The 17,734-nt window shown below is 38.1% G+C and overlaps 1 protein-coding gene across 10 annotated transcripts in view; it reads right to left on the bottom strand.

The window, feature by feature from the left end:
• Nucleotides 1-905, bottom strand: part of ARMC3 (armadillo repeat containing 3) — a 110,471-nt gene extending 109,566 nt beyond the window's left edge. For all 10 annotated transcript variants that reach the window (NM_173081.5, NM_001282745.2, XM_005252380.4 and 7 more), the window contains exon 1: nucleotides 852-905. The gene's annotated coding sequence lies outside the window, so the exon portion shown is untranslated. The remainder of the gene's footprint in view (nucleotides 1-851) is intronic.
• Between the last annotated feature and the right edge of the window lie 16,829 nt (nucleotides 906-17,734).

Below are 17,734 nucleotides of genomic sequence, written 5' to 3'. Positions count from 1 at the left end.
ACCGTACCTGGCTTTGTGTGTTTTTCTAAAGTGATTTTAACATCCTGCCTCAACTTCTATCCCCTACTTTCACCTTCCCTTCCTGGGTTCATATTCCTACTAAATTCTTATATTAACAAATAAATTCATGAAGTCTCAGTTTCCCTTCATTGCTTTAATAATCTCCAGTGGATTAGCATAACATGCCATTACAAATATTTTAAAATCCCTTAGCTATCTAGCCAGTCTCTGATTGTTGAAATTTGTTTCTAATTTTCTGGAAATATGGACAGGGCTGAAAGAACGTCCTTGGACATAAAATTTTCATCCATTATCCCCAACTATTTCTTTAGGATAAATCTCTAGCAGTAAATTAACTGGGTGAAAACTTCAGGGCATTGGATATGCAAACAACTCTGCTCTAAAAATGCATCTTCTTGACTACTGGAGCCATTTTTTTTTTCACGAGTTGATTGGTCCTTTGTATTTGTTCTTCGTGAACGTTCAGCCTATGATTTTAAATATTTTCTAATGAGTTCTGCTTTGAGAAGATTTAAAGAGGAGGAGGGCTCAAGAAATCGAGGCCACTTCTGAGTTGCTCACAGTCAAGTAACGGAATCTGACTTGATCTCACCTCAGATCCCCTCTCGGGCCTCAGTTTTGTCACCTGTTGAATGGGAGGTGGCGGGATGCTTACGAAACCCACCCCAAGCCCCGTCTAACCCTGCGGGCGCGAGGCAGAAACTAACAACGCCCAGCAAGGTGTTGCCTCACTGACCCAAGCAGTCTGCGCCCACGTGGCACCTTCTCCTTTCCCAGGTTTTCCTCAGGCCTCTGCCTTGGGCCTCCCCACCCCACGGGGTTACCTTTACCTGCCGGGAGATCCCGCCGAGTAGCTAGCTGCTCCGCAAACCCAGCAGACGAACCCCCAGTCCCTTGTTGTGCCTCGTTGCTAGGCGACGCCACGCCGCGCCGCGCCTGCGCCCTGGGAACGCTCGGGGCTGCTAGGGCGCCCATTGTCCCGCCGAGGGCAGCGGCCAGTGCGGGAGGAGCCAAGTGCGTCCGCGATTACCTGAATCCAGTGCTTTAGGGGAGAATGGAAACTGGGGGTGGAAGCTGTAAATCAAGAGGCAGTTCAGCCTCAGTTTCTGGCCCAAGGACTGGCTGTGGGTTCAAATACGCAAATACTATTGCATTCTTCCAAATAGAGGCGTCAGCCGGAATCTCTATGCAGATGAAACCCACATCAGCCACCTCCTGCCCAGGCTCCGTTAAGCTGCAGACCTGCACTGCCACATCTCTTTGCACTAGGATGTCCAATCCGTTTCCACAGAACTTCTCATGGCCCTTCAAAGCCCCGTTCTCTTCCTCTTTCTTTCCTCTTCCTGCCATTCTTCCAATTGCCTAGACTCAGAAGGAGCTTCAATTTCCCTTCTTCCTCCCATGCCCCCCAACCACAGTCATCACTTCAGCCACTTCTTGGCGGCTTACATTTTGTTTCCTGCTTGTTCCCTTTCTCATATCCTTATTGTCACTTCAATCCAGCTCGTCATTTTTTGGCCTTCTGGCTGAGAAATTCAGTTGCTCTCTGCTTACAGTTCTTTCTACGTATCACAGGCAAATCGGCCATCCAGAAATCATCGTTCCAGTCTTGTCACTTCCCTACTCAAATGTCAGCGGCTTCCTAAGATAAATTTTCAACACATTGGCCTGGAATTTAAGACCGTCTGCTCCATCTCTACTCCATCTGTGCAACCACATTTTCAACCGATCTCCACCATCCAAGCTCCAGCCAAACTTACTGTTCCCGAAATTTTCCACACTTTTCTCTAGATTTTCTTGCTTATCTGTTCATCACTTCATTTTTCAACAAATATTTATAAAGTAGCTTCTATTTCCCAGGTCATGTGCAATACCTGAAATATTCTCTCATTTCCACTTAATTAAGCCCAGCTCAAATGCCATCTTCATAAAATATTTTTTGATTGCCTTTAGCAAAAAGTCTCTCCCTCTCCTCTTAGACTTTGCAAATTCCGTCTCCTACCGGCCCCTGTTGGTCTCCCAGTCCTAAGAATGATAGATGCTTCTTATAATTGCTACTTTTATATATCTTATGTTCTCTTCTCACCATTTAAATTGCCTGATAAACAGCTTTATAACAATTATTTGTATTCAGTTTTCCATGGTCAAATATCCGGTGTGACTTCTGTATAGAAAAGATCTTAAGTAATGGTCATGAAAGTAGGAAAAGGATTAAGACCAAGTAGCATCAAGGAAACTAAGGAGGGAGTTTCAAGAATATAAGCGTCATCAAGTGTTATATGATTGGACCTTGAATAATATACACCTGTATTTTCAGCCTCTCCCTGTCTTCCACGTTTTTTCCTGTTGGTATATAATTATGTTGAAGCCCCTCCCATGCCTCATCTAAAAAGCAAAAACAAATAAAATCCCTTTGATGTTGTTGTTCCTTCTAACTATTATCCTATTGTTTTCTTTCTCTTCTTGGTCATGACTTTTCAAAAAAAGTAGCCAGCATTAGATACTTACATATTTTTAACTTCCTATTCACTCTTCAGACTATAGTGACCTGTTTTCATCCCAGCACTAAAACTATCCATATCCATTGGATGCTTCTTAGCCCTCATCTTGCTTGACATTGCTGCTGTATATAATACTCAATGACACCTCATTCTTGAAACTCTTTTCTTGGTTTCCTTGGTACTACTTGCTCTTGATCTTCCTCCTACTTTCTTTTATGACCATCATTTAAGATCTTTTCTATACAACAGGGTCTATCTATGTTGCCCAGGCTTGTCTTGAATTCCTGGCCTCAAGGAATCCTCCTGACTCAGCCTCCTGAGTAGCTGGGATTTTATAGGGATATATGCCCTATTGTGGTTTTTTTACAGAATCTTAAATGTTGAAATTTCCCAGGGATCTGTCCCTTGTTCTCTTTTCACACTATATGCTTTTCTAGGTGATCTTATTTATATTTGTGACTTCAACTATTGCACATATGTAGCTCCTCATCAGACTCCGGTACTGAACTCTAGACCCATATATCCTACTTGCTACACAGTTCCACCTGGATACCCACAGGCACTTCAGTCATCAACACTACCCACCTAAACTCATCATTTTCCCAGTATAGACATGTTTTTCCATTTATCTAGGGGTACCAACAGGTGTTCTACCCAAACAGACCACCAAGTCTGACAGGCATCCTAGACTTATTCTCCTTTTCATGCAGTTAATTATTGGATTCCCCTAAAAGTTTCTTGAATTTATTCTCACCTTCCAATTCCCATAGCCCAAGTACAGAAAGTCACTGTCCTTTACCTGAATTCATCTAACAAGCCTTCTGGCAGGTCTTCCATCCTCTAGACTCATCCTAGCTTCAATTCATCTTCTCCAAGACAATCAAAGTAATCATTCTAAGATGCAAATTTAATTTGTCTGTGTCCTTGCTGGCTCCAATAGCTCTAACACACAAATGATGAAATGCAACAAGATTCTTAAATTGACACTCAAGATCTTTCTTGTTCTGACTGACTGCTTCCTACTACAATAGCTTCTGTCATTGTTCAAAAATATAGCAAACTGCTCAGCATTCTCCAAGTACACCATGACATTTTGAGCCCTTCACTCCCCTAATCAGCCTGAAAACCACTTATTCATCTTTCAAATTTTAACTTAGTCATCATTTCCTCCAAAAAGTCTTTATTAGCTTCTTCAGACAGAGGGAAGCATTTCTCATTCGTTGCTATAGCTGTACCTTACACTTGCTCTATTTGTTATTTTCACATGATACTGTAATGTATTTGTTGACATGTATGTCTCCCCACCTAGGCTGTTTCTAAATGTTCTTCAAGTAACTAAAGCTTTTTTAATACTCACTATGAGACTGGCAATTATGAAGTGGTTAAAGTGCACAATTAAATCCACACCGTAATCCTGTGAGGTCTGAATGAAGTACAGGGTGATTAGCAGAAGGTCACTCTACTAGTAAATGGTAAAGACAGGACTTGAACTAAGGTCAGCTTGACTTTTATATCCATGTTCTGCACCAATATATCATACCAGCCCATCCTGAAATTATAGTGTTATAACAAGTTGTGATTTATTTTATTTTATTTTATTATACTTTAAGTTCTGCACAATGTGCAGGTTTGTTACATTTGTATACATGTGCCATGTTGGTGTGCTGCACCCATTAACTCGTCATTTACATTACGTATATCTCCTAATGCTATCCCTCTCCCCTCCCCCCACCCCATGACAGGCCCCAGTGTGTGATGTTCCCTTGTGATGTGTTTTTATGAAATAATTAAAACTACTGCTTTAATTCTTGTTTTATAGACTTAGTCTTTGCTGAGTATGTCAAATTTGGGCGGGAGATCATGTTTATTTTAACATATACAGTTGGATGGGTTTGGACAAGGGTTTGCAGTTGTGTAACCATCACCCCAGGGAAGTTTCAGAGACCATCTCCATCATCCCAAATTTCCCTCATGCCCCTTTGAAGTCAAATCTCTCCCTCTAACTCACTTCCCTGGGAACAACTGCTCTGCTTTCTCTCCCTATCATTTTGGCTTTTCTAGAATGTCTTATAAACAGAACCATGCAATATGCTGTATTTTGTGTCTGGCTTCTTTAATTTAGCATAGTTTAGGAGATTTGTCCATGGTGTTGCATTTATCCATAGCTTATCTCACTTTATGGCTGAGTGGTATTGCACTGCATAGATGTACAACATCCATTTACTGATTGATGGACATTCTGGTACTTTCCAGTTTGGGACTGTTATAAATAAATATGGTTAAATATACAGGGTGTTGTGTGAACGTGTTTCTCTCTTCTTGGGAAAATACCCAGGAGTGGAATTTCTGGGTCTTATGTCATGTGTATGTATAATGTTATAACAACCTGCCAAATTGCTTTCCAAAGGAACTATACTGTATTTGCATTCCCACCAGCAAAAATGAGAGATGCCATTGCTTCATGTGTTCTACAGCACTTGATGTTGTCAGTCCTTTTAATTTTAGCCATTTTAGTGGGAGTATAATGGTATCTCCCTCTGGGTTTAATTTGCATTTCCTTCATGACTAGTGATGATGATCCCATTCTATGTGATCACTAGCCATTTCTGTACCTTCTTTTGTGAAATGCCTGTTAAAATATTTTTCCTACTTTTAATTGGGTTGTTTGTGTTCTTGAGTTGTAAGAGTTCCCTGTATAGTGATGATAATCCCATTCTATGTGATCATTAGCCATTTCTGTACCTTCTTTTGTGAAATGCCTGTTCAAATATTTCTCCTACTTTTAATTGGGTTGTTTGTGTTCTTGAGTTGTAAGAGTTCCCTGTATATCCTGGATACAGGTCATTTGTCAGATATACATTTTGGACATATTTTCTGACAGTGTGTGGCTTATCATTTTGTTTCTTAAAAATATATTTTGTACACCGGAAGCTTTCAGTTTTGATGAAGTCCAATTCATTCATTGTTTCAAAGGTTAGCCTTGTTTTGTTTTATTTCATTTTGCTTTTGCCCTGCCTAAGAAATCTTTGCCTAGTCCAAAGGGAAGAAAATAGACTTCCTTTTATGTTTTGTTTTAGAAGTCTTCCAGTTTTGATTCTTATATTTGGGTCTATGATCCATGTCACATTAGTTGCTGTATATGGTATGAGATGGTTTGAGAATCACAATTTTGCATATGAATGTCCAAATGTTCTAGTACCACTTGAAGAAAACACTATTTGTGTATTGAATTACTTTGGCATCTTTGTCGAAAATAAATTTACCCTTTGTAAGTGGATCTATTACTAGGCTCTATTCTGCTTCCTTGATCGATGCATCTGTCCTCACACTAATATTACCACGTTTTGCTTATTGTAGCTTACAGTAAGCCTTTAAATCAACTAACAGGAGTTATCAAAAAGATCAAATTTGTTATTTTTCAAATTGTTTTGGCCATTGTATGTCCTTTGCATTTTCCTACACATTTTAAAATTAGCTTGTCAATTTTCATCAGAAAATCTGCTGGAATTTTGGTAAGAATTACATTTAATCTATAGATAAATTCAGGAAGAATTGACAGCTTAATACTGAGTTTTCTAAATTATTAACATAGTATAGCTCCTTATTTATTTTAAAATTTATTTCTTCATGTGCAGGTCTCACACTTACATTTTTAAAAGCTTGCATCTGAGTATTTTTGTAAGTTCTTATGCTATTGTAAAGAGTATTTTTTAAATTTCAATTTTGGAATGGTTATTTCTAGTATAACAAATACATTTGATTTTTATATTGATCTTTTCTACTGTGATCTTGTTGAGCTCACTTATTCTAGTAAATTTTTTGTAGATTCATTAGGATTTTTTATGTAGACGATCATGTTATCTACCAGTAAAGACATTTTTGCTTCCAATCTGGCTATCTTTCTTTTTGAAACAAAAGTTGTCTTGCCCTGTTGCTCAAGGTAAAATCTTTAACACAATTTTGAATAAAGTGGTAAAAGAACATCTTGCCTCATGCCAAATCTTAGGGAGAAAGCATTCAGCCTTTACCATGAAATATAAGCTTTTAAAAAGTGCCCTTAATCAAGTCAGGAAAGTTTCCTTCCTCTCCTTGTTTGCTGGTGAATTACTGTAGTGAATTAAGCCGAAATCTGTCAAATGTGTTTGCTAACATCTACTTTAATAATTGTATGGTTTTTCCTCTCTGGTCTGTTAACATGCTGATATTACACAGAATTATTTTCAAATGTTGAACCAACCTTGCATTACTGGATAAAGTCCCACTTGGATATTATGCATTACCATTTTACACAAAACTGGATTTGATTTGGTAATATTCAGTTAAAGATCTTTGCATCTATACTCATGAGGGACTTTGGTTTGTAGCTTTCTTTTCTCATAATGTCTTTGATCTTGGTTTCATGATAATGCTGGCCTCAGAAAATAATTTGGGAGGTATTTCCTCTTCTTCAATTCTCTGGAATTCTTTATGTAGAATTGGTAAGTTTTCTCCCTTTAATGTTTGGTAGAATATATCAGTGAAGCTATCTTCTTTTTTTCTGTGGGAAGGTTTTTAATTATGAATTTTATTTTTAGTAGATACACAGCTATTGAGATTATCTATTTCTTCTTCAGTGAGCTTTGGTAGTGCATGTAATTAGATGAATTTGTCCAGTGTAGGTAAGTTGTCAAATTTATTGGTATGAATTTGTTAATAGTATTTCCCTGAGTTATTCTTTTAATATCTGTATTATCTATAGTGATGTCCCACTTTCATTTGTGATATTACTAATTTGTAAATGGATTCAATCACTTCTCAAAAGAAGATATTTATGCAGCCAACAGACACATGAAAAAATGCTCATCATCACTGGTCATCAGAGAAATGCAAATGAAAACCACAATGAGATACCATCTCACGCCAGTTAGAATGGGGATCATTAAAAAGTCAGGAAACAACAGGTGCTGGAGAGGATGTGGAGAAATAGGAATGCTTTTACACTGTTGGTGGGAGTGTAAATTAGTTCAACCATTGTGGAAGACAGTGTGGTGATTCCTCAAGGATCTAGAACTAGAAATACCATTTGACCCAGCCATCCCATTACTGGGTATATACCCAAAGGATTATAAATCATGCTACTATAAAGTCACATGCACACATATGTTTATTGCAGCACGATTCACAATAGCAGACTTGGAACCAACCCAAATGCTCATCAATGATAGACTGGATTAAGAAAATGTAGCACATATACACCATGGAACACTATGCAGCCATAAAAAAGAATGAGTTCATGTCCTTTGCAGGGCCATGGATGAAGCTGGAAACCATCATTCTCAGCAAACTATCACAAGGACAGAAAACCAAACACCGCGTGTTCTCATTCATAGGTGGGAGTTGAACAGTGAGAACACATGGACACAGGGAGGGGAACATCACACACCAGGGCCTGTCGGGGGGTTGAGGGGCTGGGGGAGGGATAGCATTAGGAGAAATACCTAATGTAAATGGCGAGTTGATGGGTGCAGCAAACCAACATGGCACATGTATACCTATGTAACAAACTTGCTCATTGTGCACGTGTACCCTAGAACTTAAGTATAATTAAAAAAATAGATTCAAAATTATATATCCATATAACAACCTGCAAATGAAAGTTTATAGCAGCTTTATTTATTATCACTAAAAACTAGAAGCAACCAAGGGGGTTTGAATAAACAAACTGGTGTATTCTTACAATTGAATGCTATTCCTCAGTAAAAGAAATGAGCTATTAATTTACATAATAAAATTGATGAAAACAGACTAGTGGTTGCTAGAGTTTTATAGTAGGATGAGTATTTGACTAGGGGAAGCACAGGGAAATGGAATTTTTAAAATGGCAAAGTTGTAGGGATGAAAACAGACTAGTGGTTGCTAGAGTTTTATAGCAGGGAAAGTATTTGACTAGGGGAAGCACAGGGAAACAGGGAATTTTTAGGGTGATGGAACTAATATGATCTTATAGTTGTAGATACATGAGGCTATACTTTTGTCAAAACCCATAGTACTTTACAGCATAAGAAGTGAACCTAAATGCATGCAAATTAAAAAAATTTATTCAGGGGATTGGAAGAGCCTACGATGGAAAACAGACCGTGATAAAAGAGCTTAACTGTGTTACAAATGTGTGACATAACCTCACTGAAGCAGGCAGGGAAAATGAACTGATCTAATTAACTTTGGGAAACCATGTTTTGACTGGAAACTCTAAGACTAAAAACAAATGGAACAGTAAATAAATAGTGTATTCTACCAGGAAAAGTTGTTTCTCATAGAGTTTATGAAGGTTAATAATTCTGCAGTGATTGTACATTTATTTTGGAGGTTGAGCAAATAAATGTTAAGCGGTGGGAGCCATGTTTCCTACTATTGTAAAGAAAAGTTATGGATAAACAAGGCAGAGGACTAGAACAAACTAGGATTGGATCAGAATCAGTGCAAACTCATATTTAGCCTAATATATGCACAGATGAATAGATACAGAAATAATCATAAATGTGTTTCTATGGGTCAGTATACATTCATATATTCCCTAACTCTGTCTACCAAGAGGACCTAAAGGCAGTGACATTCCAGTAATAAGTACCTCTAGCACCCAGGTCTTTGTTTCTAATACCATTCTCCAATAAAGGAAACCGGGGCTCCTTGGAGAAATAATTTATTCTAAGTCTTGGGCAGGATATACACAAGATTAATCTGGAGCATCTTGTATTACCAGAATGTAAGGAAGTGCTCAGAAAACAAAAAATGAGGGTATGTTAGAAGGACAAAGGAGTCAACCTGAAGGAGCTTTTAGAGGTCAAAGCTAGAAGCATTTGAGCACCCAAATAAATAGCATAGTACTGACTGTAACACAAAGTATTAAATAAATACCCATCAGTCCATATTGATTTAAATAAATAATTGAAAAAATAGATGGGGATGAGGAAACAAATAGAAGACTTCCAAATGTTTTATGTAGATAATCCTCCTTCTCAGAGGTATAGCTTAACTCTTTCCATATCCCCACTCTTGAGTGTAAGCTGCTCTTTGTGACTTGCTTCCAGAGAGTAGATTATGGAAAGGAGAGAGGGACACTAACTTTAGAGTGGAGAACCTGGGAAACACTGCCTCATCCAGGTGGTCAAGGTTAACATTATTCCATGATAAGTCATGTTTGCAGAACGTAGTTTGGTAAAATTTTATGGTGGCTGGGCATGGTGGCTCATGCCTATAATCCCAGCACTTTGGGAGGCCAAGGTGGGAGGATCGCTTGAGTTCAGGACTTCAAGACCAGTCTGGGCAACATAGTGAGACTCCATCTCTACTAAAGACAAAAAGTTAGCCAAGAGCGGTGGCATGCACCTGTAGTCCCTGCTACTAGGGAGTCTGAGGTGGGTGGATCACTTGAGCCCAGGAGGTTGAAGCTGCAGTAAGCTGTGATTGTGCTGCTGGACTCTAGCCTGGATGACAGATCAAGACCCTGTCTCAATAATAAATAGTAATAATAATAAAGAAACAAAGATGTGATGAGAACAGCACTTCACCTTTGCATGCTTCCTTCCGAAACCCATGACCCCAGTCTAACCATGGAAAAACATCAGAAAAACCCAAATTAAGAAACATTTTGAAAAGCAGAAAAAAGACATTAGGGGGAAACTAGTAAAATCTGAACAAACTATGGAGTTTAGTTAACAGTCATGTTGCAATGTTGGTTCTTTTGTTGTCGCAAACGTGTCATGGTAATATAAAATGCAAACAACAGTGGGAACTGGGTGAGGCGCATATGGAGACTCTCCATACTATATTTACAATTTTCTGTAAATCTAAAACTATTCTAAATTTAAAACTTTGTTGTAAAAAACATACAGCAATTTCAGCCTGCTCTTTGTTAAATCTTGCTATCTATTCATTAAAGAAACCAGGTAACTTATTTGTCCTTTTGTTCGTGATTGTTTTCCGTAATGTGATTTAACATGGTGGTCTGTAGGCTGTTTTATTCTATAAATGGGTGTTTATATCCAGAGAGTGATACATTCAGGAGCAATTTTTGACAGTAACCCATCACAGGCGATGCTATATATTTCCTATTGTGTCACATCAGAAAACATAAAATTTCTGGATATCTCCCGTTTGATGACTTAATGAGTGGGTTCAGGTGTTATTAGCCTGATATCTCCTCTATAACATTCCATTCAGCTTTCTTTTTTTATCTATTAGTTTGAGTAGCCATTGAGCATAATTTTCTGGGTCCATGATTTCATTAGATGTTTGCAGAATGTTGATCTTCTATGTCCTCCATTACTTCTGAATTTATTAGTTATAGTTCTAAGATCTTTTCTCATCAACTATCTGATTAACAGGAAATACAGTTCATATAGGAAAGGCAGGATAAATGTTCTATTCTTTCGTTGTTTTTACCAGTTTTTGGGGGGTAATGCATTGTTACCTAGAACTTCCAAAGGTAATTAATGAGTTTTGGTTCTTTGTTTATTAGCAATATAAACACATGGGTTTCTAACAGATATATTAAAATCAATCATAGTCACTATTATTTTTGATAAATTGTCCTATATTGGTCAGTGGGAGCCCTTTTTTAAAATTTTCGTTTATTTGTTTGTTTGTTTTAGAGACAAGGTCTGGCTCCGTCATCCAAGCTGGAATATAGCAGTGCGATCATAACTCACTGCAACCTCAAATTCCTGGGCTCAAGTGATTCTCCCACCTCAGCCTCCTTAGTAGCTAGGATTATAGGCACACAGCTAATTAAAAAAAAAAATTGTGAAAACAAGGTCTCACCATGTTTCCCAGGCTGGTCTCAAACTTCTGACCTCAAGCAATTTTCCTGCCTCTGCCTCCCAGAGTATTGGGATTACAGGTGTGAACAACTGCACCCAGCCTGAGAGCCCCTTTAATTTTCAGTGTCCTTTTGATATGACTCCAGTAGCCTTTTATAGCTTCCCTGTTGTTTAGTATGAAACACGTTTCCAGCTCATCTTACATATTTTATGTCCCCAAACTGGAATCCAAAGAACCTAGGTTCATTATACTGGAAAATGGCATTTAGAGACCATAATCTAGACACTAGGTTGCTCATTGCTGCTGGGTCAATCATTGCTTCTAGGCCGTTTCAGAAGCCTGGTGAAGCCATGCATTCAGCACACATTGTAAACCAGAAATCCAGAGGTCCAGACTGTGGATATGAGAGGTAAGATAATCAGTGTGTGACAGTCATAGAAACTCTCTTGTCCTGTAGCCATGGCTTCTACTAGGCATTTAAATCTCTAAACCTATCTTTTTTTGTCTCAGATCTAACAGGTATACCAGAAGTAATCTGCCCATCCCATGTCCCTTGTAGTTCTTCTGTTTACCACATTGTGCTATGGCAGTAGCCACTGGGTCTGTCAAAATTGTGTCCAATATGTCCTGGGCAACAAAACCAGACCCAATCTCTACAAAAAAGTTAGCCAGCTGTGGTGGCACATGCCTGTGGTCCCAGCTACTTGGGAAGCTGAGGTGGGAGGATGCCTTGAGCTGAGGAGTTGGAGGCTGCACTGAGCTACAATCACGTCACTGCATTCCAGCCTGAGTGACAGAGTGAGACCCTGTCTCTTAAAAAAAGCCAAAAATGTGTCCAATGGGTACTTCTTTCCAGAAAACCACAGATGACTTCCAATTTTTAAAGACATTCTCTCAAATTAAGCAGATTCTTACTGTTTTCAAATTCAAGCAGGTCAAATGACCAGTCCTGGATTTCTATCTTTGATCTTCTAAGGTCAAAAACCACTCTGGTTCGAAGTATTATATCATTCTGTTGCAGAAAACAAAATCAATTCTAACTAGCAGGGAATTTAACATGTAGTGTGGTTGCAAGGGCTGGAGGAACAGTTTCTAGGCTCAGCTTGAGAGATGAATTTCTTTTTTTTTTTTTTTTTTTTTTTTGAGACGGAGTCTCGCTCTGTTGCCAGGCTGGAGTGCAGTGGCGCGATCTGGGTTCACTGCAACCTCCGCCTCCCAGGTTCAAGCGATTCTCCTGCCTCAGCCTCCCGAGTAGCTGGGACTACAGGCACATGCCACCACGCCTGGCTCGTTTTTTGTATTTTTAGTGGAGATTGGGTTTCACCATGTTGGCCAGGATGGTCTCAAACTCCACACCTCATGATCCGCCCACCTCAGCCTCCCAAAGTGCTGGGATTACAGGCATGAGCCACCGCACTTGGCCAGAGAGAAGAATTTCAAAATAATATTGCAGAAATGGTCAACCAAGAAAGCCAAGAGATCAGGAAGCTTAAGTCACTTTCAAGCAGAATAATGAGGATAATCTTGGTTTGGCATTTAAGTTCACTAATTTTTCTCTTCCTCACCCTAATTAGGCTAATTTTTTTTTTTTTTGTCTTGGAAAAGTTATCAAGTGAAACAATAGTGCCTAGCAAATCAGGCCAGCTCCACCCCACAAAATTTATATCTCAAAGAGAAAAAGCTTTGAACTTCTTAAAGCATGTGCAAGTTCAAAATAAGAAACAAAATTCTCTTGTGAAATCAGATTCAACAGTATTACATTAAGTTCAATTTCATAGCTAAAGCCAAGTTCCATGTGTAATTGCAGAATCATTCAATTTAACAGCCTATGTGAAAATTTGAGAACAGCAAGGCAAAGTCATAGAAAAGATGTCACTTTTATATAGTACCATTAGTAGATGCATTTATGATGTGAGGTGACACAGAGGAAGCACTACTCTAGAAAATATTTAAATCAAACAAAGACTGATGACTCTATGGACATTTCTAGTAACGTGCAGTTAATAAATCTAGTTAAGACTGCCTAAAGAGAAATGCTTGGAAAAAAACATTATCTGTCTTACAAAGAGTTACCAAAACAAAGTTCTTGAAATAAGATACTTAAAGTACTATATGAATATGTCAGAAGAAATAAAATACACTAGAAACACTGTTTAAATGGGTGTGATACTGCTTTCATAGTAGTTAGCGGCTTTACATAAAAAGTTCATTTCAAATACTATGAGTAAAAGAATCCATCATTTTAATTACACATAAATGTTAGTGTAAAACTTTTTCCATGCATCTATAGTCCACATTAAATGATATTCTCAAGATAGCGAATCCAAGCCACTGTAGTCATATCTGTTTTCAGCTCTATGCAAAGAATTAAGATCAAAAAAACACTCTTTCCTGGTTCATAGCACAGAGTATAACCAATGAAATTTTTTGTTAAGAATAGCTGAGCTCAAATAACAATTAAAATTTATGTGAGTATAAATTATTCTTACTTTACAGAGTCGAAGATTAGTTGTAAGCTTAAAAAAATGTGTTAACTAACATTTTCAAGCATTTTAATACACATGATCCAAGTTTGGAAGGACCACAAGAAATACAGTAATGTGCACTGTCAATATCCATGGACTTAAGAAATCACTACTGATGTTTTAGTAAGTGTTGGACTTTGTGTGCTAAAGAGTTAGAAAGACCAGTAAAGCTGTATCTATTTTTGCTGGAAGAAGCACTTTATTAAAATTTTGAAATAATAAGAAAACATTTTAAAAGATTCAAAACCATTTGTTATCACAAACTATTTCAATGTTGCATTTGTCAAAGAAAGGAGTTGTGTTTAAAAGTGATAAGCCTATGAAATATGATTTTAAAAGGTCAGAGAAGAAATGATCTGATAAGAGCAAGAAAGCAGTTTTAATTCATTAAAGACAAAGCAAGAATATGCTACTTTTTACATCTACTTGTGTAGTCTCTGACAAAATCACCTTAGTAAAAAAAGTGAATATTCTTTGTTATATATTTATGATAAAGAAAATGAAATAAAAATTACTGTGGATATATTAAATACTGATTTCATAATATAAATAGCTTCACATCTTTAAATGAGATCATTGGCTTTGCCCCTGCAAGTATTTTACACACACACACACACACACCCCCACACACAATATCTCATTTACAACTTGAACCTGTAGCATGTAATTTATTTTCTTTTATTTTTTTGTTTTCAGAGACAGGGTCTTGCTCTGTTGCCCAGGCTGGAGTGAGCAAGGTGACTATCAAGAATATGTAAGATTTTGTTGAGAAATTACTGTATCCATAGTCCTAGCTACTTGGGAGGCTGAGGCAGGAGGTTCACTTGAGCCCAGGTGTTTGAGGCTGCAGTGCGCTGTGATAGTGCCACTGCACTCTAACCTATTGACTTCCCCAAATCTCTCCCAGTTTGACTGGAAGGCTCAGTGTGACTTACAAATATTGTCATTTTCTGTAAGTATCTTGGTGTGAAAAAGTTTGAGAGGCACTCATCTAAAGCCTTACCGACCACCATTAAGTTCCTGGCTGGATCTACAGAATTTTGTTCCCAACAGTCCTAGTCTAGTAAGTTGGCATTATCCATACATGCAGAGATCATAAAATGTGTCTTTTATGTAATTTTTAATGAAACTTGGTCTTACCTTCCCTAAATCAGCCAATTTTCTTTCCTGATATTGAAGTATTTGAGCAGGAAGTTAACTATGTTAATTCGTGTTAATTTCGCAATGTTATAGTTGTAGGTGAACGTAAACTAGGACTAGAAGAGGTAAGAAATCATGATGGATTTTCCCACCCCACCCCAGAAAACACTCTTGCTGCATCTAAGTTATTATGGACCTTCAGACTCAGCATCTTTCTCCCCTAGATTGTGTCATAGTCAACATATCTATTTCCATGCCTAGATGACGTTTTATCTCCCATGCGCTACCCACAAGTCCTTTGGTGCTGTTAGTGTCAGAAACTAATTAAACCACATGATAGTATCAGCTCTCCCATTTTTAGCAACCCGAGAGTCTTAGCACAAAAAAACTTCATTTGACTCAGTAGATATGTTCTAGAAAATAGATTTTTTAAAAAAAGAATTTTTGAAATCTAATTATACTTTGAGAACAGTAAGAGAGTTTACTATTTAGAGAAATCTGAGAATGAATTACTTCACAGACAAAAAGCAAAGAACCTTTACTAGGGACTGAAAGTTAGTGTCCCCCCAAAATTTATATGTAGAATCCTTAATCCCCAATGCGATGGTATTTAGAGGTGGGGCCTTTGGGAGATAATTAGGATTATATTAGGTCACTAGAGTAAGGCCCTCATAATGTGATTACTGCCCTTAAGAGGAAAAAACATGAGCTCTGTCTCTGCAACATGAGGATACATGAAGAAGGCAGCTGTGTGCAAACCAGGAAGAGAACCGTCACCAGATATTGAATCTGCTCACACCTCGATCTTGCACTTCTCAGCCTCCAAAACTGTGAGAAATAAATGTGTGTTGTTTAATGCACTTGTATTTGTTATAGCAACCTGAACTAAGATAACTCTTCAGTAAAGAAAGCAATTATCTATTGTTTATCTACTTTTGAAATCTAAATTTGCCTCAAGTGAAAGGGTACATCTGTACAATACTAGGTAGATGATCACAATATGTTCCTTTTAATGCAGTCTTTGAATTCATTTCCATCCAAATTGAATTAGTCATATGGTTTATTGTTGTAAATCAACTGAAATTAGTCGAAGATAAATAATAAAAATGTAAAGACTTCTGTTTTCTTTAACATTCAGTTCAGTGTTACCTATGTAAGGAAAGCTATAAACAGTGTGGTAACCTTTCACCGTTTCTAGAGCTTAAGCATACATATGCCAATATGTACCATAAATAGTTGCTATTTCTCTCAACAGTAGATTGCCACAAGGCAGTTTCTTCCACCACACTGTGTTATTTAAAAGTTATCTGCTTTGTTGGCTGCCGTTCAAGGGCGCTCTTTGCCTGTAAATCCTCTTTACCTCATGCTATGGGGGAAGCGAAATCTTGGCACAATTTCAGAGTGTTTGTATTCTTGTACCGAGGAGAAAAAAAAAAAATTAATGGCTCCAAAGACTGACACTGCTCTGCAAATGGTCATGAAACAGTGGGAAGTCCTGTTGGCTATTCAGAAGGGTAACACTACCAAGTGCCCACAGCGAAAAATAAGATCCCCTCAGACGAGAGGCAGCCACTCTATAAAAAAGATCATTTAAAAGCCTGAATGATAGAGTTTCAAAGTAAATAAGGCTCATTGTGTACTTGACTCCGGGCCTTTAAAATCAGCTTAACTTAGTGGACGAGGTCCTTAAGTAGCAATCATTTACTTCTTAGACAAGTTTTTACATTCTTTTGACTCTGAACTTGGTTTCTGTAATTTGCATTGTGGAGATAGCAGCTTGTTTGCTAGTGGTTGTGAAGTTTAAGATAAAATAGGGTACATTTCGCTTAGAAAAAGAGTAAAAACAGATGTCTGAGACAACCTACCCCTTTGAGATAACATCTTCTGTGAGGGATGCTCCAAAATGGCTTATTCCAGTGGTGGAAGAAATTCTTCTACCTGGAATGTGTAATTCATACTGGTGGATAAACAGTAGGTACTCCTGTCAGAGCAACGTCTAGGTAAAAAGTGGTTCCCCTAGGTTGGCTTCTGACATTTAGTTTGTCTTAAAAAACAAACAAACAAAAACCAGAGTAACTGTGCTGGTTTAAGAAAGGATCCCCTGAACTGAGAAGAACTAGGTTAATCTAAAACCCAGTTCCAAATCACCAGAATAAACTATACTGAATAGAATGTGGTTGAGAGGCTCCCCCAAGAAGGCCAGTGTGTTGAAAGTAGAGGGAATGGATCAAAGAGCTCTTCTTTTTGCCTGTTGTGAGCTGTAAGGTAATCCTACAGCATGTGGAACTACTGAGGCCAGGATCCTGGGTCTGATCTCTCTAGGGTTTTCTGGCCAAACTGGGCCAGAGATTTTGGCTTGATCAAGATGATACAAGATTACTGCTAGAAAAGGAAGTCTGGGCTTGAGTCTTTCCAGTAACATGTGGTGACTACCACCCTGATTAGAGAGGATCCTATGGCCTGCATTTAGAAGGCTCTTCATGTTTGAAGGCCCAGCCCAGTCTGCTTGCATCTGGTTCCAAGGCAGCATTATTTTGGGCATAGTAAGTTTTGTTTCCACAAATTATTAGAGTTTGTGGTCTAAAATTGTGCAGAATTGTCCCCACCCAAATCTCATGTTGAAATGTAATCCCCAATGCTGGAGGTGGGGCTTGGTGGGAGGTAATTGGATCATGGGGGCAGTTTCTCATGAATGGTTTAACACCATCCCCCCTTTGGTGCTGTTGTCACGATAGTGAGTTCTCATGA

This window comes from Homo sapiens, chromosome 10 (assembly GCF_000001405.40).
Source record: "Homo sapiens chromosome 10, GRCh38.p14 Primary Assembly".
In the NCBI taxonomy this organism is placed as follows: domain Eukaryota; kingdom Metazoa; phylum Chordata; class Mammalia; order Primates; family Hominidae; genus Homo; species Homo sapiens.
The sequence above is the reverse complement of the archived record's forward strand: the minus strand, read 5'-3'. Positions and strand labels throughout refer to the sequence as shown.